Source organism: Homo sapiens, chromosome 13, assembly GCF_000001405.40.
Source record: "Homo sapiens chromosome 13, GRCh38.p14 Primary Assembly".
In the NCBI taxonomy this organism is placed as follows: domain Eukaryota; kingdom Metazoa; phylum Chordata; class Mammalia; order Primates; family Hominidae; genus Homo; species Homo sapiens.
The window spans coordinates 32364046-32386980 of NC_000013.11; the positions used below are offsets into that span (position 1 = coordinate 32364046).

The 22935-nt window shown below is 40.3% G+C and overlaps 1 protein-coding gene and 1 pseudogene across 7 annotated transcripts in view, besides 2 other annotated features; both read left to right on the forward strand.

Annotated features, from left to right (window-relative positions):
* BRCA2 (BRCA2 DNA repair associated) overlaps window positions 1-22935 on the forward strand; it is an 85192-nt gene that overhangs the window by 48969 nt on the left and 13288 nt on the right. For 5 of the 7 annotated variants that reach the window (NM_001432077.1, NM_000059.4, NM_001406719.1 and 2 more), the window contains 6 exons: window positions 6357-6512; window positions 6911-7055; window positions 12625-12746; window positions 15272-15470; window positions 15705-15868; window positions 15962-16100. In NM_001432077.1, the coding sequence (NP_001419006.1) occupies window positions 6357-6512; window positions 6911-7055; window positions 12625-12746; window positions 15272-15470; window positions 15705-15868; window positions 15962-16100 (925 nt within the window). Of the gene's footprint in view, window positions 1-6356; window positions 6513-6910; window positions 7056-11297; window positions 11362-12624; window positions 12747-15271; window positions 15471-15704; window positions 15869-15961; window positions 16101-22935 lie in introns of all 7 variants that reach the window. The other 2 variants (NR_176251.1, NM_001406720.1) reach the window with 2 other exon arrangements.
* Window positions 17547-17841: an enhancer, noted in NCBI's record as "tiled region #1962; HepG2 Activating non-DNase unmatched - State 12:CtcfO, and K562 Activating non-DNase unmatched - State 13:Ctcf". NCBI's record gives its function as "activates a minimal TATA promoter and a strong SV40 promoter by Sharpr-MPRA in HepG2 and K562 cells {active_cell/tissue: HepG2 | K562}" and the evidence as "EXISTENCE:reporter gene assay evidence [ECO:0000049][PMID:27701403]".
* IFIT1P1 (interferon induced protein with tetratricopeptide repeats 1 pseudogene 1) lies at window positions 20557-22596 on the forward strand (annotated as a pseudogene).
* Window positions 20734-20783: an enhancer, noted in NCBI's record as "active region_7555". NCBI's record gives its function as "activates an Ori minimal core promoter by ATAC-STARR-seq in GM12878 lymphoblastoid cells {active_cell/tissue: GM12878}" and the evidence as "EXISTENCE:reporter gene assay evidence [ECO:0000049][PMID:35858748]".

Sequence of the window (22935 nt, forward strand, 5' to 3'; positions counted from 1 at the left end):
TATTCTGGATCACTCTAAAGAGAATGTTTTATAAATTAAACATTTTTAAGGTAAAGATATATTTTGTTTGGCATTAGTTCCATGTTGGATTGATTGCTTTTTACTGAAAGCATTCCATCAAGCTGAAACAGTCTTTTGTTTTATGTTGCTTAGAACATCAAGCTTGCAGTGGCTTTCATTTTCTTGTTTTTGTTTTTTTTTAAATCAAATCAATGCATGTGCATAATTTGGAAACTCAAGTAATATAAGACATATAACCAAAAAAAAGCAGTTGCTAGCACAACCCTCCCCATCCTCATTCATGGTCCCAAGAGGCAATCGTTTCCAGTCTGTTTGACTATTTTTTAGCTTGTACTGCTGTCTTCTTTCTCTCTTCAGTTTAGACAGCAACCGTTAACTTCCTGCTATGGAAAATGAGGATTTCATTGTCTTACTCCAACACTGCTACATATTTCTCTACCCTCTTCCCCATCTTCCCTCTACTAATACAGCATGATTTTTAGTGAAATCTGTATTCAGTGTATACATTATAATGACTGAAAAATATTTTTTGCAATTTAATACCTAATCGACTGTGATCACATTTCCTTTCTTTACAGCTTACTGCTTTCCATGAAGTTATTAACTGTCCTTTTCATTTCTCTTAATTTTCTGTGTCCTTACACAGGAGCTATAAAAATCCTGCCCAATATGTTAAAATTTCTCCATTGGTTCCATTTCTGTTTCTTGGAGAACCCCTGGACCTCTTCATATGCTTACTCCATTCTGAAGTGCTCATTTTCTATGTGTGCCATACAGCTCTCATTCTGTAAATTATTCTTACCTCTTTTCTGTGTTAGAAACCCCATTTCCTGGTTTCCATGTCATCTTTCTAGAGTTTTTCCCCCAATTTTAAGGGCCCACAACTCTCAGAGGCTTGTTGGGAAAAGGAGCATGCAAGCTTTTTGATATCTTAGGGTAAGGTTGGCTGGATATAGAATTCTAGGTTGAAATAATTTCTTCAGAATTTTTAAGACATTTCATTTATCTTCTTTAGCATAGCTCCTGCTAATTGCAGTGCATTCTTTTTTTTTTTTTTTTTTTTTTTTTTTTGAGACAACGTCTCACTGTGTTACATAGGCTGGAGTGTTTCATTTTGTACAGATGAGGTCTCCCTGTGTTGCCTAGGCTGGTCTTGAACTTCTGGGCTCAAACGGTCCTCACGCTTTAGCCTCCGAGAGTGCTGGGATTACAGACATGAACCACTGTACCTGGCCTGCGGTGCTGTTTTTATCTTCAGTCATTCATTATGTGCTCTGGTTTTAAGAAGTTAAGATTGTTTTGTCTTTATTTTTATTTATTTATTTATTTTTGAGACAAAGTCTCGCTCTTGTTGCCCAGGCTGGAGTGCAATGGCGTGACCTCTGCTCACTGCAACCTCCGCCTCTCGGGTTCAAGTGATTCTCCTGTCTCAGCCTCCCGAGTAGCTGGGATTACAGGTACCTGCCACCACACCCAGCCAAATTTTGTATTTTTAGTAGAGACAGGGTTTCACCATATTGGCCAGGCTGGTCTCATCCTGACCTCAGGTGATCCACCTGCCTCAGCCTCCCAAAGTGTTGGGATTACGGGCATGAGCCACCACGCCCAGCCTGTTTTGTTGTTATTTAAATTTCACAGTAATGTACTTTGGTGTCTTTTTTTTTTTTTTTTTTTTTAACTTTTTTTTTTCCTTTAATTCTTGGCCCAGATGCTTACTGGCACTTACTCTAGAAACACATAGTCCTTCATTGAGTTCTGGAAAATTTTCTTTAAGTGGTTCTTTTATAATTTCCCTCCATTTTTTTCTCTAGTTTTTTCTGGAACTCCTGATGTTTGGACACTAGGCCTCCTATATTGTTCCTATAATTTTCTTGTCTTTTCTCCTACTTTCTATTTGATTGTCTTTTTTTATTCTAACTTCTGGGATGGTTTTTAATTTTTTTCTTCTAATTCTTTATTAATATGCCATGTTTTATAGATTTGTCTTTAAATATTTTTACATAATTTTGTAACAAAATACAAAAAAAGCAATTCCTAAAAATTTAGAAAGTCAAATGAAAGCAAAGAACTTAAGTGTGTTTTCAATTAGAGCATAATCATACCAAGAAAGTATTTCAAGTAACTTAAAAAATGTTTTATGTCCCTAGTGGTATATACCCCAAGAACAACAATAGCAACAACAACTATAAAATGAAACAAAATCTTAAGCTATTGTTAGTAATCATATTGCTGGTGGTAGTGTTGGTATTCCTATTCTGAAGTTATAGTGGATGTGAAGTATGTTGTATGTGTATACTCTTTTACGTATATTTGTTGTATGTGAGTAATTATATGATTATAGAGAACAGGGATCTTTTTATCAGAGAAAGGTGCAGATGTGAGATTGAAGTAAAAGAAAACTTGTGGTTCTGCATTTGTATTGGAAATATCATTATGAACTCGAGATCTATATTATCTTTAAAAAATACATGCTGGCTGGGCACAGTGGCTCACACCTATAATCCCAGCACTTTGAGAGGCCAAGGTGAATGGATCACTTGAGGTCAGGAGTTCAAGACCAGCCTGGCCAACATGGTGAAACCCCGTCTCTACTAAAAATATAAAACTTAGCCAGGCATGATGGCATGCTCCTGTAGTCCCAGCTACTGTGGAGGCTGAGGTGGGAGAATCACTTGAACCTGGGACGTAGAGGTTGCAGTGAGCCAAGGTCGCACCACTGCACTCCAGCCTGGGCGACAAAGTGAGACCCTGTCTCAAAGAAAAAAAAAAATATGCTTATTGGTTTCATCTATCAAAAAGAACAAAAAAAAAAAAAAAAGGAATAATCCAGTAGTAGTGAGTAACCCTAGCTCTCAGACTGTTTTCTAAGTACTGTTTTCTCTTAAAAGGATGCAAGGTGTCTTGAAGAAATGGCTGATTCCAGATTCAGAGGAGGAAATATATGAATCTGGAAAGTCTTGACATACCAGAAAAAAACTAAGCATCAAACACTACTAGTGTCATGTCAAAAGGACTTAGGAGTGTAATAGAATAGATTCTTACTGATCACAGATAAAATAATTTGAGCATCAGAAAGGATAATAACAGGCTGGGCACACTGGCCCACACCTGTAATCCCAAGATTTTGGGAGGCCGAGGCAGGCAGATCACTTGGGGTCAGGAGTTTGAGACCAGCCTGGCCAACATGGTGAAACCCCTTCTCTACTAAAAAATACAAAAATTAGGTAGGCCTGGGGGCGGGTGTCTGTAATCCCAGCTATTTGGGAGGCTGAGGCAGGGAGAATTGCTTGAACCCAGGAAGCGGAGGTTGCAGTGAGCCGAGATTGTGCCACTGCATTCTAGCCTGGGTGACAGAGCGAGACTCCATCTCAAAGAAAAAAAAAAGGATAATAACAGCAAAAAATTGAAATTCATAACAAATGATAACTTCTATTCTCATTGTTTTAAAAACTAAAGCCCAGGCACAGTGTCTCACGCGTGTAATTGCAGTACTTTGGGAGGCTGAGGTGGGCATACTCAGGAGTATGAGACCAGCCTGGGCAACATGACAAAACCCCATCTCTACAAAAAATACAAAAATTAACCAGGTGTGGTGGCATGTGCCTATAGTCCCAGCTACTTGAGAGGCCGTGGTGGGAGGATGACCTGAGCCCAGGAGGCAGAGGTTGCAGCGAGTTGAGATCGTGCTACTGCACTTCAGCCTGGGTGACAGAGCCAGAGCCAGACCCAGCCTCAGAAAAACAACAAAAACTAGGTAAAAGGAGAAAAAAATCAAGCATTTATCTTTCTTCTCTTATATGATCTATATTTTGGGACCCTCAAGTAGATGAGGGGAAGTTTCTGTTTATAAAAATGTTTCAACAAATAAGGAATAATAGAATTAAAATATAACCATTTCGCAACCCTCAAATTAGGGTTGTCTTTTCTTCTAATTCTTTTTTTTTTTTTTTTTTTTTTTTTTTTTTTTTTTTGAGATGGAGTCTCGCACTGTCGCCCAGGCTGGAGTGCAGTGGCACGATCTTGGCTCACTGCAACCTCTGCCTCCTGGATTCAAGCGATTCTCCTGCCTCAGCCTCCTAAGTAGCTGGGATTATAGGCACCCACCACCACACCTGGCTAATTTTTTTGTATTTTTAGTAGAGACAGGGCTTCACTATGTTGGCTACGCTGGTGTTGAACTCCTGACCTCGTGATCTGCCCGCCTTGGCCTCCCAAAGTGCTGGGATTACAGGCTTGAGCCTGTAAATCCAGAAAAGGATTACAGCCCTTTTCTTCTAGTTCTTAAAGTGAATTTGTGTCTACCAACATAATTTTCAAGAGACCTTTATTATTCCCTAAATGTTTTTCTTTTTTTTGTGACATTCAGTTCTTGTTTCATAGATACAGTATCTTCTCATCTTTCTAAAGCTAATGATTAATGTTTTATTTTCATTTTCGTTTTTTCTGCTCCCTGCATTTTTTTTTTTTAATGAAAACCTTTGTCTATTTGAGTCTCTCTGGTTAGAGACTTTCCTCAATGGTGATCATTCACTGATCCAGAAGTTGTATGTGAGGTGAGGCTTGTCAGCTCATAGGGTAGTAATGTAGTGATTTAGTTTTTAACTAGGAGACCCTCAAATATCAGTGACTGTTCTGAGAGCTGAGCAGAGTAAGGAAATTAATAGGGAGACTCATTGTCAGTGTAAGAATTTTATTTCAGTTTGTTGTTTGTTGTTTGTTTTTTGTTTTTTTGTTTTTTTTTTGGTTTTTTTTGTTTTTTTTTTAGATGGAGTCTTGCTCTGTTGCCCAGGCTAGAGTGCAGTGGTGCGATCTCGGCTCACTGCAACCTCCACCTCCCAGGTTCGAGGAATTCTCCTGCCTCAGCCTCCCGAGTAGCTGGGACTACAGGCGCCTGCCACCACCCCTGGCTAATTTTTTATTTTTAGTAGAGACGGGGTTTCACCATCTTGGCCAGGCTGGTCTCCAACTCCTGACCTTGTGATCCACCCGCCTCGGCCTCCCAAAGTGTTGGGATTACAGGCGTGAGCCACAGCGCCCGGCCCAGTTTTGTTTTCAATAATAGCATCTCACCCCCACCCTGGCTGCGTCTGCTCAGTATTCCAGAGTCCACGATATGTATGGTTCAGCCCTCCAGAAAATAAAGTCTCCTGCATTTTTTTTTTTAATGCTGCAGCAAGAATAGGGTCCTGGGTTCTTTTTTAGTATGAGGGAGAGACAGCCACCTGGCTACTTGGGATAGGAAAGAAAATCTGGTGTTTCAACTACGTTTGTACAAAATGTCAACCATTTCTTCCTATTTTCAGCCCCACCATATGCTCCTGCCTTCACAGGTACCTGTTGCCTCCAATTTCTGAGTGTTTTCCTTTAATTATTTTGTTTCATGTTAACTCCTTACAACAAGTTTGGTGGCTGAATAACCTTGGGCAAGTTGTGTAGTTTCTCATATACTTTAGTTTTATCGTTGTCTGTAAAATGGAGATGAGTCTTCAGATTATTGTGAAGATAATTTGTTTGTTTGTTTTTTGGAGACGGAGGCACGCTCTGTCCCCCAGGCTGGAGTGCAGTGGCACAATCTCGGCTCACTGCACCCTCTGCCTCCCAGGTTCAAGCAGTTCTCCTGCCTCAGCCTCCCGAGTAGCTGGGATTACAGGCGCCCACCACCTCACCTGGCTACTTTTTTGGTTTTTAGTAGAGACGGGGTTTCACCATGTTGGCCCGGGTGGTCTCGAACTCCTGACCTCAGGTGATACGCCTGCCTCGGCCTCCCAAAGTGTTGGGATTACAGGCATGAGCCACCTTGCCTGGCCAAAGATTAATTGTTAATATACATAAAGCGCTTAACACCATGCCAGGTACCTTAGTAAGTGTTCGATGAATATTTGCTTTTTGTATTAGCCATAATCATTCTCAGGCTGCTTTGTCATTTACTTGTTCCACAAATTCTTAGCTTCCAAAATTTTGGTGATACCTCATTTCCTATTCTCTCTAGTTGCCTTTGTCCATGTAGATTTTTTGAGGAAGCTTGGGTAAATAAGTGTATTTTAAACTATTATGTTTAAATCGAAGTTCCTTTTATCTGTTTTCTAATAGAAACATTTAAATAGCATTAAGAACTTGTAGCAGTATAAACAATATGTTTGAGAAGTACTATATTGTGAAAATATTTTCACTTTTATACAGTTTTTTACTTATTTACTGTCTTACTAATCTTCCTAAGACTTTTTAAAGTGAATATTTTTAAGGCAGTTCTAGAAGAATGAAAACTCTTATGATATCTGTAATAGAATTGAATACATATTTAACTACTAAATCAATATATTTATTAATTTGTCCAGATTTCTGCTAACAGTACTCGGCCTGCTCGCTGGTATACCAAACTTGGATTCTTTCCTGACCCTAGACCTTTTCCTCTGCCCTTATCATCGCTTTTCAGTGATGGAGGAAATGTTGGTTGTGTTGATGTAATTATTCAAAGAGCATACCCTATACAGGTATGATGTATTCTTGAAACTTACCATATATTTCTTTCTTTTGATACAATTAATTTGTTTGTTTGTTTGAGATGGAGTTTCGGTCTCTTGCCCAGGCTGGAGTGCAATGGCGTGATCTTGGTTCACTGCAGCCTCCACCTCCCGGGTTCAAGTGATTCTCCTGCCTCAGCCTCTCAAGTAGCTGAGCCACCACACCTGGCTAATTTTGTATTTTTGGTAGAGAAGGGGTTTCATCATGTTGGTCAGGCTGATCTCGAACTCCTGACCTCAGGTGATCCACTAATCTCAGCCTCCCAAAGTTCTGGGATTACAGATGTGAGCCACTGTGCCTGGCCTGATACAATTAACTTGAATGTTATATATGTGACTTTTTTGGTGTGTGTAACACATTATTACAGTGGATGGAGAAGACATCATCTGGATTATACATATTTCGCAATGAAAGAGAGGAAGAAAAGGAAGCAGCAAAATATGTGGAGGCCCAACAAAAGAGACTAGAAGCCTTATTCACTAAAATTCAGGAGGAATTTGAAGAACATGAAGGTAAAATTAGTTATATGGTACACATTGTTATTTCTAATATGAGAACAAAGTCTTAGAGACTTTGAATTTAACATTTTTAATGAGTAAATTGTTTTTATTTTGAGTAGTAAATTGACTTTATTTTTTAGTATCTAGGGTATTCTTTTTTGGTGTTAGACAAAGAATAGCAACAAGGGACAGAAATATCAGGTCTAAGCCATTTGTAATATTTTTCCTGAATTCTTACCTATATGATGTGGCTTTTGCATTTTTGTCATGGTAGTTATTAGCTTTCATGTGTTATTATGCCTGGAACTAGGACCTATTGTGGTGTCAATTTTAATATTAAAAATCATGGTGTTTTGATGTTTATATGACATAAATTTTATTTTTTCGTATCTCCCTTTTGTTGTTGCTGAAGATTTTATGTTTTTCTGCATTTCCTCATGATTTATATAGATGTAACATGTTCTATAGGACATGTAATTTACATGTCCTATAGAACTATAAGTTACATGTCCTATAGAACTTACAGTTCTATAGTTATCTGCAGAAATATTGCTCCTTATGCTTTATTTGCTTAAAATTATCACTAGATCATACTATTTTCATAAATAAATGAATATGAAATCATTCACAGGCATACCTCAGAGATACTGTGGATTTGATTCTAGACCACCGCAATAAAGCAAATATTACAGTAGAGCAAATCACACGAATATTTTGGTTTCCCAGAGCATACAAAAGTAATGTTTACACTATAGCATAATCTCTTAAATGTGTAGTAGCATTGTATCTAAAAAAAACAATGCACATACCTTAATACACTTTATTGCTAAAAAATGCCAATGATCATCTGAGCCTTCAGTGAGTTGTAATATTTTTGCTGGTGGAGGATCTTTCCTCAATGTTGATGCCTGCTGAGTGATCAGAGTGGTAGTTGGTGAAGGTTGGGGCAGTTGTGGCAATTTCTTAAAATAAGACAATGGCATTTGCAACATTGATTGGCTTTTCCTTTCATGAAAGATTTCTCTGTAGCATGCAATGCTGTTTGATAGCATTTTATCCATGGTAGAACTGCTTTCATAATTGGAGTCAATTCTATCAAACTCTGCTTTATCAGAATATTATGTAATATTCTAAATCCTTTGTTGTCATTTCAACAATATTCACAGCACCTTCGCCAGGACTAGATTCCCTCTCAAGAAACTACTTTCTTTGCTTATCCATAAGAAGCAGCTCTGTATTAATCTGTTCCCACACTGCTATAAAGAATACCTGAGACTGGGTAATTTCTAAAGGAAAGAAGCTTAATTGACTTACAGTTCCACATGGCTGAGGAGGCCTCAGGAAACTTACAATCATGGCGGAAGGCAAAGGCAAAGCAAGTACCCTTTTCATAAGGTGGCAGAAGAGAGAGTGCAGGGGAAACTGCCACTTGTAAGCCATCAGATCTCATAAGAACTCCCTCACTAGCACAAGAATAGCATGGGGGAAACCACCCCCATGATCCAATCACCTCCCACCAGGTCTCTCCCTCAACACATGGGGATTACAATTTGAGATGAGATTTGGGTAGGGACACAGAGCCAAACCATATCATTCTGCCCTGGACCCTCCCAAATCTCGTGTCCTTTTCACATTTCAAAACCAATCATGCCTTCCTAACAGTCTCCGAAAGTCTTAACTAATTCCAGCATTAACTCAAAAGTTCAAGTCCAAAGTCTTCATCTGAGACAAGACAAATCTCTTCCACCTATGAGCCTGTAAAATCAAAAGCAAATTCTTTACTTCCAAGATACAATGGGGGTACAGGCATTGGGTAAATGTTCCCATCTCAAGTGGGAGAAATTGGCCAAAACAAAGGGGCCACAGTCCCCATGCAAGTCCGAAACCTAGCCAGGCAATCAATGAATCTTTTTTTTTTTTTTGAGACAGGGTCTTGCTCTGTTGTCCAGGCTAGAGTGCAGTGGAGAGATACTGGCTCACTGCAACCTCCGCCTCCTGTTTCAAGCAATTCTCATGCCTCAGCCTCCCAAGTAGCTGGGATTACAGGTGTGCACCACCATGCCCAGCTAATTTTTGTATTTTTAGTAGAGATGGGGTTTCACCATGTTGGCCAGGCTAGTCTTAAAACTCCTAGCCTCGCTGGGTGGGGTGTCTCATTCCTGTAATCCCAGCACTTTGGGAGGCTGAAGTGGGCAGATCACAAGGTCAGGAGTTGAAGACCAGCCTGGCCAACATGGTGAAACCCTGTTTCTATGAAAAATTCAAAAATTAGCTGGGCGTGGTGGCACGCGTCTGTAATCCCAGCTATTCCAGAGGCTGAGGCAGGAGAATTGCTTGAATCCAGGAGGCAGAGATTGCAGTAAGCCAAAATCACACCACTGCACTCTAGCCTGGGCAACAAAGCAAGACTCTGTCTCAAAAAAATAAATAAAAAAAAATAATAAAAATAACTCCTAGCCTCAAGTGAGCCACTGCACCCAGGCCAGTCATTAAAGCTCTAAAATCTCCTTTGACTCCATGTCTCACATCCAGGGCATGCTGATATAAGGGGTGGGCTCCCACGGCCTTGGGCAGCTCTGCCCTTTGGCTCTTCAGTCTACAGCCCCTGCAGCTGCTTTCATGGGCTGCCATTGAGTGACAGCTGCACAGTGCAGGCTGTCAGTGGGGGATGATGGCCCTCTTCTCACAGCTCCACTAGGCAGTTCCCCACTGAGGACTGTGGGAGGTGGCTCCAACCCCGTATTTCCCTCACAGTTTCCCTCCCGGTTTCCCTCCTGTACTGCACTAACAGAGGTTCTCTATGAGGGCTCTGCCCCCACAGCAGACTTGTGTGTGGACATCCTGGCACTTCCATACATCCTCTGAAATCTAGGCAGAGGCTCCCACAGCTGAACTCTTGTCTTCTACATACCCACAGGCCCAGCATCACATGGAGGCCACCAAGGCTTAGGGCTTGCACCCTCTCAAGCAATGGCCTGATCTGTACCTTGGCCCTTTTTATCAATGGCTGGAGCTGGAGCAAGTGGGACACAGGTTGCCATGTCCCATGGCTGCACAGAGCAGTGGGGCCTTGGGCCCAGCCCACAAAACCATTTTTCCCTCCTAGGCCTCAAGGCCTGTGATAGAAGGGTCTACTGTGGAGATCTCTGACATGCCTTGGAGACACTGTCTCCATTGCCTTGGCTATTAACGTTTGTTTCCTTGTTACTTATGCAAACTTCTGCAGCTGGCTTGAATTCTTTCCCGGGAAATGGATTTTTCTTTTCTACTTCATGGTTAGGCTGCAGATTTTCCAAACTTGCATGCTCTGCTTCCCTTTTAAATATAGGTTCCAATTTCAAACCATCTCTTTGTGAACATGTATGACTGTGTTTCTAGAAAAAGCCACATCACACCTTGAACACTCTGCTGCTTAGAAATTTCTTCCACAGGATACCCTAAATCATCTCTCTGAAGTTCAACATTCCACGGATCTCTAGCGCAGGGGCAAAATGCCACTAGTCTCTTTGCTCTAAAGCATAGCAAGAGTGACCTTTGCTCCAGTTCCCAATAAGATCCTCATCTCCATCTGAGACCACCTCAGGCTGGACTTCACTGGCCACATCACTGTCAGAATTTTGGTCAAAACCATTCAACAAGTCTCTAGGGAGTTCCAGACTTTCCCACATCTTCCTGTCTTCTTCTGAGCCCTCCAAACTCTTCCAATCTCTGCCTGTTGTCTAGTTCCAAAGTCACTTCCACATTTTCAGGTTATCGGTATAGCAGTCCCCCACTCCTGGTAACAATTATCTGTATTAGTTCATCCTCATACTGCTATAAAAAATACCTGAGACTGGGTAATTTGTAAAGGAAAAAGGTTTAATTGATTCACAGTTCCACATGGCTGGGGAGGCCTCAGGAAACTTACAATCATAGTGGAAGATGAAGGAGAAGCAAGTACCTTCTTCACAAGGTGGCAGGAAAGAGAGTACAGGGAGAACTCTCACTTTTAAGCCATCAGATCTTGTGAGAACTCCCTCACTATCATGGAACAGCATGGGAGAAACTGCCCCCGTGATCCAGTTACCTCCCACCAGGTCCGTCCCTCGACACGTGAGGATTACCGTTCAAGATGAGATTTGGGTGAGGACACAGAGCCAAATCGTATGAAGCTCCTTATCATTTAAGTTTTATTGTGACATTGCAGTAATTCAGTCACATCTTCAGGCTTTACTTCTAATTCTAGTTCTCTTGCTATTTTCACCATATATGCAGTTACTTCCTCCACTGAAGTCTTGAACCCCCCAAAGTCATCCATGAGGGTTGGAATCAACTTCTGGTAAACTTGTTAATGTTGATATTTTGACTTCCCATGAAACACTAGTGTTCTTAATGGTATTTAGAATGGTGAATCCTTTCTGGAAGGTTTTCAATTCACTTTACCCATATCTATCAGAGAAATCACTATGGCAGCTATTCTTTATAAGACATGTTTCTTTTTTTTTTTTTTGAGATGGAGTTTCGCACTTGTTGCCCAGGCTGGAGTGCAATGGCGTGATCTTGGCTCACAGCAACCTCTGCCTCCCAGGTTCAAGCAATTCTCCTGCCTCAGCCTCCGGAGTAGCTAGGATTACAGGCATGTGCCACCACGCCCGGCTAATTTTGTATTTTTAGTAGAGACGGGGTTTCACCATGTTGGTCAGGCTGGTCACGAACTCCGGACCTCAGGTGATCCACCCGCCTCGGCCTCCCAAAGTGCTGGGATTACAGGTGTAAGCCACCGTACCCGGCAAGACATGTTTCTTAAATAATAAGACTTGAAAGTTGAAATGACTCCATGATCCATGGGCCACAAAATGGATATTGTGTTAGGAGTCATGAAAATAACATTAATCACTCTATACATCTCTGTCAGAGCTCTGTGACAGAGACATGAAGTGAGCACATACTGTTGCGAAAATGGCGCCAGTAGGCTTGCTCAACATAGTTTCCACAAACCTTCAATTTGTGTTTTTAAAAAAATGCAGTATCTATGAAACTCAGTGAAGTGAAATACATTAAAACAAATATACCTATGTTAACTCACATATTACTGTAATTAAACTCTGTATGACTTTTTTTTTTTTTAAACATGAGTACACTGGTTTCAAAATTTCCTGGAAAACTTATAGCAGGCCAGGTGTCATGGGTCACATCTGTAATCCCAACAGTTTGGGAGTCCAAGGTGGTGGATCACTTGAGGTCAGGAGTTTGAGACCAGCCTGGCCAATATGGTGAAACTCCGTCTCTACCAAAAATGCAAAAATTAACCGGGCATGTTGGATGTGCCTCTAATCCCAGCTACTCGGGAGGCTGAGGCAGGAGAACCACTTGAACCCAGGAGACAGAGGTTGCAATGAGCCGAGATCACACCACTGCACTCCCAGATTGGGTGACAGAGTGAGACCCTGTCTCAAAAAAAAAAAAAAGAAAAAACTTTTAGCAGTTATATAGTTTCTTATCTTTAAATCTCCCTTCTTTGGGTGTTTTATGCTTGGTTCTTTAGTTTTAGTTGCTTTTGAATTTACAGTTTAGTGAATTAATAATCCTTTTGTTTTCTTAGAAAACACAACAAAACCATATTTACCATCACGTGCACTAACAAGACAGCAAGTTCGTGCTTTGCAAGATGGTGCAGAGCTTTATGAAGCAGTGAAGAATGCAGCAGACCCAGCTTACCTTGAGGTGAGAGAGTAAGAGGACATATAATGAGGCTTGATGATTATTCAAGGTGAGAAGCTGTTTTAGACTCTCTGGCCATCACAGGAAGGAGTATGTTGAAATGCTGCATTTCTCAAAAGGGATGTGTACATTTCTGGGATTTTCAGTGATGTGCCAGACGAGTGTGGTGGTATGTTTTCAACTATATACCGAGTAGAGGATGGGAGGGTTCTAGAATTTTATATATTAATTAAATTTGGTTTAAAATGCAGGCAAAACTTGTTTTATTTTTGTCCCTCCTGTACTCTGAAGCAAAAAAACTTTTTTATTTTTAAGATAAAACAAATATCTTCAAAGTAATGGCTTAGTTTCCATGTTCTTAGCTGTTTCTCAAGTCCTTCCTGGAGTGTACTTGATAATCCTCTACCCTAAGGGTACTTGGGTAGAAATGTTTCCGAAGCACTAAACTGTTAGAAGTAGCATAGGCTTTAGAATCGTGGCACTCTCATTTTATTAGCAAAGTAAATGACAATAAAATAGCTGGCCAGGCGCGGTGGCTCACGCCTATAATCCCAGCACTTTGGGAGACCGAGGCAGAAGGATCACCTGAGGTCGGGAGTTCGTGACCAGCCTGGCCAACGTGGTGAAACCCCGTCCCTATTAAAAATACAAAATTAGCCAGGCGTGGTGCACATGCCTGTAATCCCAGCTGTTCGGGAGGCTCAGGCAGGAGAATCGCTTGAATCCAGGAGGCAGAGGTTGCAGTGAGCCAAGGTCATGCCATTGCACTCCAGCCTAGGCAACAAGAGCAAAACTCCGTCTCAAAAAAAAAAAAAAAAAGCTATTAAATGGGCGTAAAATGTTGTTTTAGGATCAAATAAATAATCTATATAAAAGTTCCATATAAATGTTAGTTACTATTATTAGAACATAATTTTATATATTAAACTACCTCCTAAATTTTTAGACAGGTAGATAGCTAAAAAAAAATTCAAATTCTAAGATTAGTTTGTTAGGGAGGAAGGAGCAAATATTTTACCAAAACTACTTGTTTTTAATTGATTAATTTCATTCACTTGATGACTTAGTAAATCTTGTGAATATAGCCTTAAATTTCTTAAATAGTGGGACTACAAAATAAACAATATTTCATCAGTAATGTAAGCAGTGCTATACTGAGTAGAATTCCCTCCTGTTCCGAAATGTTACAATTTGGGTTCTCCCTGTGAGAAGTGAGTCCGGTTTTAAAACCTGTGAGTATACTTGCTGCAGGTCTGAAAATGAAGGCTTTATGATTCTTTCTTGAAAAATTATTTGCCTCTATCTTTTATAATATTATTTGTTGAAGCTTGTGCATTCTATGAATCATCATGAAGATAGCTTTAATTTCATCCACAAAATTTAACAATATTTTTTTGTCTGGACATAAGGGGGCAGAATAAGAGTTGGAGTAGGGCCTTGCCCAGCCACTCTGTAACTGGACAAGTGATGTATTTATTTCTTAGGACCTCATTTCCACCTTCTATCAAGGGAAAACCTAAGAGTAGGTTATCTTTAGGGTTCTAAGTGCCTATGAGTCTATGAGATTTGACTTTATTAAAGTTATCTTTGTAATTCTTTGAGGAGAACGTAGGCATCCATTTTTAAAACAGTCCTGTTAGAATTTGTTTTCAGTAACAATGTTGAATGATGGCCTTTTGAAATCAGGTTTTACAACAAAATTGTTTAAACACTGCCTGCATATTTAGAATCTCTATACCTATATTAAGATACAGAGATTGGATAGTCTCCCTTTTCAGTATAGATAATCTCCCTTCCCGGTAGAGATTAGGATATTAAGATGTATAATATCCTAAAGTGTAGCAGCAGTCTGGTATGTTACATGTCTAAATTCCATTTCCTATTTTATTTGTTTATTGATTTATCTGTTTATTTTTGTTACACTGGGTAAGATTCCCAAGAGGTACAAGTAGAAATTTGCTAAAGTGAGTAGGACAGAAGTGTAGAGGCAAACATAAAAGTATGTTTAGTACATATCTGTTTTAAATTGTATCTACTATTTCAAAGTTAATGGAATTATACTCCTGGGGCTAAGAATGAGGGTTCTAGGGCCAACCTCTACTACCTATGTGGCTTGTGCAAATTAGTTGTCCCCTTTGTGCCTCAGTTTTACCTACAACACAGAAACAATGATATTACCTACCCCATGGACTGTTGTGAAGATTAAATGAATTAGTACATTTACTACACATAGATCTATTTCTCAAAATAATGAGCATTCAGATATTAGCCATCTGTAATGTAGTTGGTGATGATTATGATTATTAGAGTACATTTATAATTGGAGGATCATTTTTGCCGTAGGGAAATAGAATTATTAATAGTTTGAGGCACCTGAGAATATTATGTGAGAAACTGATTACATTAACCACACCCTTAAGATGAGCTCTAATTTTGTTGTATTTGTCCTGTTTAAAGCCATCTAGTTACAATAGATGGAACTTTTTTGTTCTGATTGCTTTTTATTCCAATATCTTAAATGGTCACAGGGTTATTTCAGTGAAGAGCAGTTAAGAGCCTTGAATAATCACAGGCAAATGTTGAATGATAAGAAACAAGCTCAGATCCAGTTGGAAATTAGGAAGGCCATGGAATCTGCTGAACAAAAGGAACAAGGTTTATCAAGGGATGTCACAACCGTGTGGAAGTTGCGTATTGTAAGCTATTCAAAAAAAGAAAAAGATTCAGGTAAGTATGTAAATGCTTTGTTTTTATCAGTTTTATTAACTTAAAAAATGACCTTACTAACAAAATGATTATAAATCCAGATAAAGTATAAAGTTAGTTTATATCAGAGAAGCAAAATCCACTACTAATGCCCACAAAGAGATAATATAAAAGAGGATCTGTATTTATTTTGAAACAAACATTTAAATGATAATCACTTCTTCCATTGCATCTTTCTCATCTTTCTCCAAACAGTTATACTGAGTATTTGGCGTCCATCATCAGATTTATATTCTCTGTTAACAGAAGGAAAGAGATACAGAATTTATCATCTTGCAACTTCAAAATCTAAAAGTAAATCTGAAAGAGCTAACATACAGTTAGCAGCGACAAAAAAAACTCAGTATCAACAACTACCGGTACAAACCTTTCATTGTAATTTTTCAGTTTTGATAAGTGCTTGTTAGTTTATGGAATCTCCATATGTTGAATTTTTGTTTTGTTTTCTGTAGGTTTCAGATGAAATTTTATTTCAGATTTACCAGCCACGGGAGCCCCTTCACTTCAGCAAATTTTTAGATCCAGACTTTCAGCCATCTTGTTCTGAGGTGGACCTAATAGGATTTGTCGTTTCTGTTGTGAAAAAAACAGGTAATGCACAATATAGTTAATTTTTTTTATTGATTCTTTTAAAAAACATTGTCTTTTAAAATCTCTTATGATTAGTTGGAGCTACCAGTTGGCAAATTTGCTAGCTAACTAGTGATCTGAAAGTAAGCCTCTTTGAACCTCTGATTTTTCATGAAAAGCAATTCTCTCAATTCTATATTATTTCAAGGGTAACAAGTTACATCCTAGTCTGTGTACTTAATTTTATAGAAATTGTCCTTAATTTTATTTTCTGCAATTTATGTTTTCTTACTATTTCTGGTGTATGTGTTTATCCCATTGTGATGTTATATTGGTGTCCTCAATTTATTTCCTTAGCCATACACTCTACTTTTCATTGTACAGGGCTATTTATTATCTCAGAGTCAAGCTTTTTTTTTTTTTTTTTTTTCCCCGAGATGGAGTCTCACTCTGTTGCCCAGGCTGGAGTGCAGTGGCGCTATCTCAGCCCACTGCAAGTTCTGCCTCCCAGGTTCACACCATTCTCCTGCCTCAGCCTCCCGAGTAGCTGGGACTACATATACCCGCCACCGAGCCTGGCCAATTTTTTGTATTTTTAGTAGAGTCGGGGTTTCACCGTGTTAACCAGGATAGTCTAAATCTCCTGACCTCGTGATCTACCAGCCTCGGCCTCCCAAAGTGCTGGGATTACAGGCGTGAGCCACCGTGCCTGGCCAGAGTCAAGCTTTTATTTTATTGAATATATGGTCTTACTAAGTTCAATAGCATGAATCTGTTGTGAAGAATTCAAGAATTTTCTTCTATTTGTTGAGTTTTGTTTTCTTAGGAGTTTTGCTCTTTCTCTTTTGCTGTGTTTTCTCCTTATTTTTTAAATGTGTTTGTGTTTGGTGAGTTATGTTTTAGTGCTTCGTAGGTTTTTCTTTGACTATATTATATTAGTAAGCCACATTGTTCCCATGCCATTTTATTTCATCTTGGTCATATTTGGATGACTCTTTTCACACATTTTATTGTTATTATAGAAGGTGGATAACTTTTGTTCATTTAATTCATCAATATTTATTTAATGACTGTTATGTGCTAGACAGTGTTTTAAGTGCTGGGTACATAGCGATTAACAAAACAGATAAGAATCCCTACCCTCATAGAGCTTACATTATGAGGTTGGGGGAGGGAGATTACAAACAAAGAAATAAGTAATATACATGTGTATAGTTTTTTTAGTGCTCAGAAAAAAAATTAAGTGGGTAAGGGGGTAATGTCAGAGAAGAGAGAGGGATGTAATTTTAGATTGAGAGGTGAGGAGAGAGACCTCCCTGGAAAGCTGACATTTGAGTGAAGCTTGAAGGAATTGAGGGAGTGAGGTGAGGCATGTGGCCATCTGGGGAAAGCTTTCCAGGCAATTACAAAGGCCGCAGTACAGCAGGATCATGCCTAGTGTGCCGTGAAGCATTGGCAGAGACCAGAGAGTGAGAAGTAACATCCAGGGACAGAGGCAGTGAAGAGCCAGGTCGTGTGGGGGTCCTTGTGTGGACTGTAACTTCCTGTGATGACAGGAAGTCACAGGAAAATTCCAGGTAGAGGGACACTGTCTGACAGGTTTTCACAGAATCATTCAGGCCACTGTGTTGAGAATAGGCTGTAGGGGGCACAAGAGTACAAACAAGCCATTTGGAGGCTCTTTCAAGCACTTAGGCAAAAGATGATGAACCAAACAAAAGCAATGGAAGTGGTGAGAAGCAGTCAGATTCTTGTTGTATTTTGAAGGTAGGGGGACGGTGCAGGATGGTCTGAACATTGGGAAAAATGGAATTGCCACTTAGAAGGAAAGACTGCAAGAAAAGCAAGTATGTGGGGAAGTTCAGGAGCTCAGTTTTAGACAGTTAAGTTTTAGATGCTTATTAGGCATCTAAGTAGAAATGTCTACTTGATGGTTACATAGGAATCTGTTCAGAGGAATGGCTGGATATGAATTTGGGAGTCTTTACTACAAATTTTTTTGTATTTTTAGTAGAGACGGGGTTTCACCGTGTTAGCCAGAATGGTCTCGATCTCCTGACCTCGTGATCCACCCACCTTGGCCTCCCAAAGTGCTGGGATTACAGGCATGAGCCACTGCACCCGGCCAGTCATACAGGGGACATTTAAAGCCGTGAGACTGGATGAGGTCACTGTGGGCATGGGAGTAGATAGAGACGGGAAGAGATCCAAGACCTGATTGAAGCCTTTTATACTTAGAAGCAGGGAAATATAAATGTAAATATAGGAATCAGTAAAAGAAACAGAGGAATGGCCAGAGAGGTTGGAGGAATACTGGAGTGAGGTATGCTGAAAGCCAAGAGAAAAAAAGAATTGTCGAGTAGTGAGAGTGATTAAGTCTGCCAAATGCTATTTCATAGAATTGATAATGAAGTGAGGACCAAGAATTGATCATTGGCTTTAACACCGTGGAGGAGCACTTTCAGTGGACTGAAGTGGGGCAAAGGAAATGGAGGGAAAGGAGGAATGATAGTGAATATAGGCATTTCAAGGATTTTTGCTTTAAGAGAAGAAGAGAAATGAATCAGTAGCCAGAAGGGGAATCAGGATCAAGAGAACATTTGCTTTTTCAGTTGAAAGTGCTAATAGCATACTGATGAGATACTGTATGCTGATGAGAAAGATCCAATAAAGAAGGTAAAATGCAAGATGGAAGCAAAACAGGAACAGCTGTGGGGCACTGTTCTCAGATACTGTGTGGTATGGTATCTAGAGGCTCTGTTGAAATTGGCCTTAGCTAGCAGGAGAGACTGTTCATCTGTAATCACAGGAAAAAAGTAAAGTACGTAGGTATAGATACCAATGGAAGAGTTGATATACAAGAGGAAACTTGTGGCAGACCTCTTTTGATTGCTCTATTTCCTCGCTGAAACAGGGCACAAAATCATCAGCTGAGAGTCAGAATGAAGAAAAGGGGGCCAGGCGCGGTGGCTAACGCCTGTAATCCAGCACTTTGGGAGGCCAAGGTGGGTGGATCACGAGGTCAGGAGATGGAGACAATCCTGGATAACACGGTGAAACCCCGTCTCTACTAAAAATACAAAAAATTAGCCGGGTGTGGTGGCGGGCGCCTGCAGTCTCAGCTACTCGGGAGGCAGAGGCAGGAGAATGGCGTGAACCTGGGAGGTGGAGCTTGCAGTGAGCTGAGATCACACCACTGCACTCCAGACTGGGAGATTCCGTCTCAAAAAAGAAAAAGAGAAAGAAAAGGGTGTTGAAGGTTTGAGAGAAGAGGAAAGGCATGAAATCATTATCTAAGAAAGTGGTAGAGTAAATGGACTAAGTAAACACATCATGACTGCCAGGGCCCACTGGAGGTTTAATGTTCATGAATATATTGTTGTTGTGTGATATTTTTTCAACCGTGTTCAGCTCTGATGGTGTGGGCATGAAGTAGTTGGAAAGTAGAATTTAACCAGGTCTGTAGTTTAGCTGGGTAAGTAATGCAAAGCAAGAAGGGCAAAGAATTTGGGGGTATATGCAAAAGGAGGATTTAAATAATTGACCTTGGACACAATGCAGAGCAAAGAAGAGACATTAGAAGACGTGGATCAATGAACAGGAGATAAGAAAAGCTGATTGTAGGTCACGGTGGGTTTGAGTTAGGGTTTTAGAGGGAGTGAACTGGGCAGATCAAAGGTAGGTGGTTGAAGAAGGAGGTACTTCAAATTGAGATTCTGGGGGAAATGGAGTTATTGGAAATAAAAGTCTTGGGTATGTCCATTGCAGTGAGTTACCAGTGGAAAATAGAGGACATGATCATTTAGGAAGAAAACAAGGAACTTGGGAGCAACAGAGTATTGGAAGGATTGCCTGTGAGGATACTGAAATTTCCAGGAAACATGACCATCGTGATGACAGAATGACAGTGAGTTATGAGTTAAAATCTTCAAGGAATGAAAGGCAATGAGTGAGCCAGGGTCAATGGATGCCTGTAGCAAGGAACAGTAATGAATGACAGTCTGATAACACGAGGTTCAAAACTGAGTGTTTTTAGAGTGGGAGGAGCAGCAATGAAGCATGAGGAAGACATCTGCCTCATCTCAGCCTCCAGTAGCACAAGGTCTGCAGGGGCAACTGTACAGGCAGACAAGAACCAGGTTTGTTGCAACAAGATGGCAATGAGAGCACCTGCAGGAAAGGGTGACGGTAGTGGAGATCTTACTGAGTTCCAGAGGCCCCATTGAAAGGATTCGAGGAGATGAAGAGGTAGGAGGAGATGGTGCCCAGAAAGGCCACATCCAAAGCCTGGAAGCGGAATCCAGGGAATTTGGCATGACTGAGAGCCTGTGCTGCCTTTTTTAAATGTTTTAATTTTTGTGTGTTTATAGCAGGTGTATATATTTATGGGGGAGCCTGTGCTTGTTATGGGGACTGACACAGATCAGCTCTTGGCCCCAAGGCAAGGTGTGTGGGAGAAGAAAAAGTGAGGAGGCCTAGATGTCAGAGGAGTCCGGCTAAACCACTGCAGAACTGCTGCCTAATTCACAGCAACCATGAGTAAAAATGCTGATGATCATCAGGTCAAGGATAGTCTGGAGCAGTTAAGATGTTACTTTACATGGGAGGTATCAATTAAAGATGATGAAATGCCTGATTTGGAAAACAGAGTCTTGGACCAGATTGGGTTTCTAGACTAAATACAGTGTGGGAATACACAATACACAACCTACTAGCCTATGTGAAACACCCGAAAGGCCAGAATGAGGAAGTGCTGGAGAACTTGAAAGAAGCTGAAGACTTAATCCAGAAAGAAGATGCCAATCAGATTTGAGAAGCCTGGTAACCTGGGGCAACTTTGCCTGGGTGTATTACCACATGGGCAGACTGGCAGAAACCCAGACTTACCTGGACAAGGTAGAGAACATTTGCAAGAAGTTTTCAAGTCCTTTCTGTCACAGAATGGAATGTCCAGAGATGGACTGTGAGGAAGAACGGGCCTTGCTGGAATGTGGAGGGAAGAATTATGAACAGGCCAAGGCCTGCTTTGAAAAGGATCTGGCAGTGGCTGCTGAAAACCCTGAACTCAACACTGGGTATGAAATCACCGCCTGTCGCCTGGATGGCTTTAAATTAGCAACGGGGGATCACAAGTCATTTTCTTTGCCTACCCTAAGGCAGGCTGTCAGGCTAAATGTAGATGATAGATATAGTAAGGTTCTTCTTGCCCTGAAGCTTTGGGATGAAGGACAGGAAGCTGAAGGAGAAAAGTACTTTGAAGGAGCTCTGGCCAATACGTCCATGCAGACCTTTGTCTTTGGATATGTCTTTGGATATGTCTTCTCTTCTTACTGAAGAGAAGACTTTGTGGATGAAGCTCTTGAGCTCTTAAAAACCTCCTTGCAGGCAACTCCCACTTCTGCCTTCCTGCATCACCATATAGGGCTTTGTGACAGGACACAAAAGATCCAAATGAAGGAAGCTACCAACAAGCAGCCTAGAGGGCAGAACAGAGAAAAGGTAGACAAAATGATAAGATCACCTGTATTTCATCTTCAATCTGCTGTGGAACAAAAGCCCACATTTGAGGTTGCCTATATAGAACTGGCAGGAAAGTATATAGAAGCAGGCAATCACAGAAAAGCTGAAGACACTTTTCAAAAAGTGTTGTGCATGAAACCAGTGGTAGAAGAAATAATGCAAGACATATATTTGCACTATGGTAGATTTCAGGAATTTCAAAAGAAATCTGATGTCAGTGCAATTATCCGTTATTTAAAAGCAATAAAAATAGAAAAAGGCATAATTTTCAAGGGATAAAAGTGTCAATTCTTTGGAGAAACTGGTTTTAAGGAAACTTCAGAGAAATGCGTTAGACCTGGAAAGCTTAAGCCTCCTTAGGTTTCTGTACAAATTGAAAGGAAACATGAATGAAGCTCTAGAGTACTGTGAGTGGGCCCTGAGACTGGCTGCTGAGTTTTAGAACTCTGTGGGACAGGGTCCTTAGGCACTCAAATATTGACCACTTTCATATTTCATTTGATTTTCTGTTAACGTGCTAATCAAGGCTGAGGTGAGTGGATCACCTGAGGTCAGGAGTTCAAAACCAGTCTGGCCAAAGTTGCGAAACCGCTTCTCTACTAAAAATACAAAAATTAGCCAGGGGTGGTGGCACACACCTGTAATCCCAGCTACTCAGGAGGCTGAGGCAGGAGAATTGCTTGAACCTGGGAAGCGGAGGTTGCAGTGAAATGAGATCGCACCACTGCACTCCAGCCTGGGCCACAGAACGAGACTGCATCTCAAAATAAAGAAAAAATGATAATCATCTTTTCTGCTTGCTGTTTTCAGAAACATATTATGTAATTCACTGTAATGATGTAATTATTGAACAGTTACTCAAATCTGATAAAATATTAGTTGCATTCAATAATTAATGAATCAATGTGTGTGTGCATGTAAGAAAAACCATTTGTATGAAGCAGAAAAAAAATGTTAGGTAGATTTGTAGGAAACAAAATACTGGACTTACACTAAAATAAAGTGAGAAGGTCGGTGCCATGACCCAGTGTAATTCTTGACTCTCTATTTATCCAAGATTAATTTCTCCCCCCCTTAGTTACAGTGTGAGGGCTGGATATTTGAGTTTCTATTCATGATACAGTATGTATCCCTGGAAGATGTCTCTGGTTCTAGATCATTTTTCCCAGTTCAGTGAGTAACGCCGTGTATTTATTTGCTATAACAAAGAACCATAGACTGGGGGCTTAAACAACAGAAATTTGTTTTCTCACAGTTCTGGAGGCTGGAAATCCAAGATCAAAGTGTTGGCAGGGTTAATTCCTTCTGAGGCTGTGAGAATCTGTTCATTGCCTCT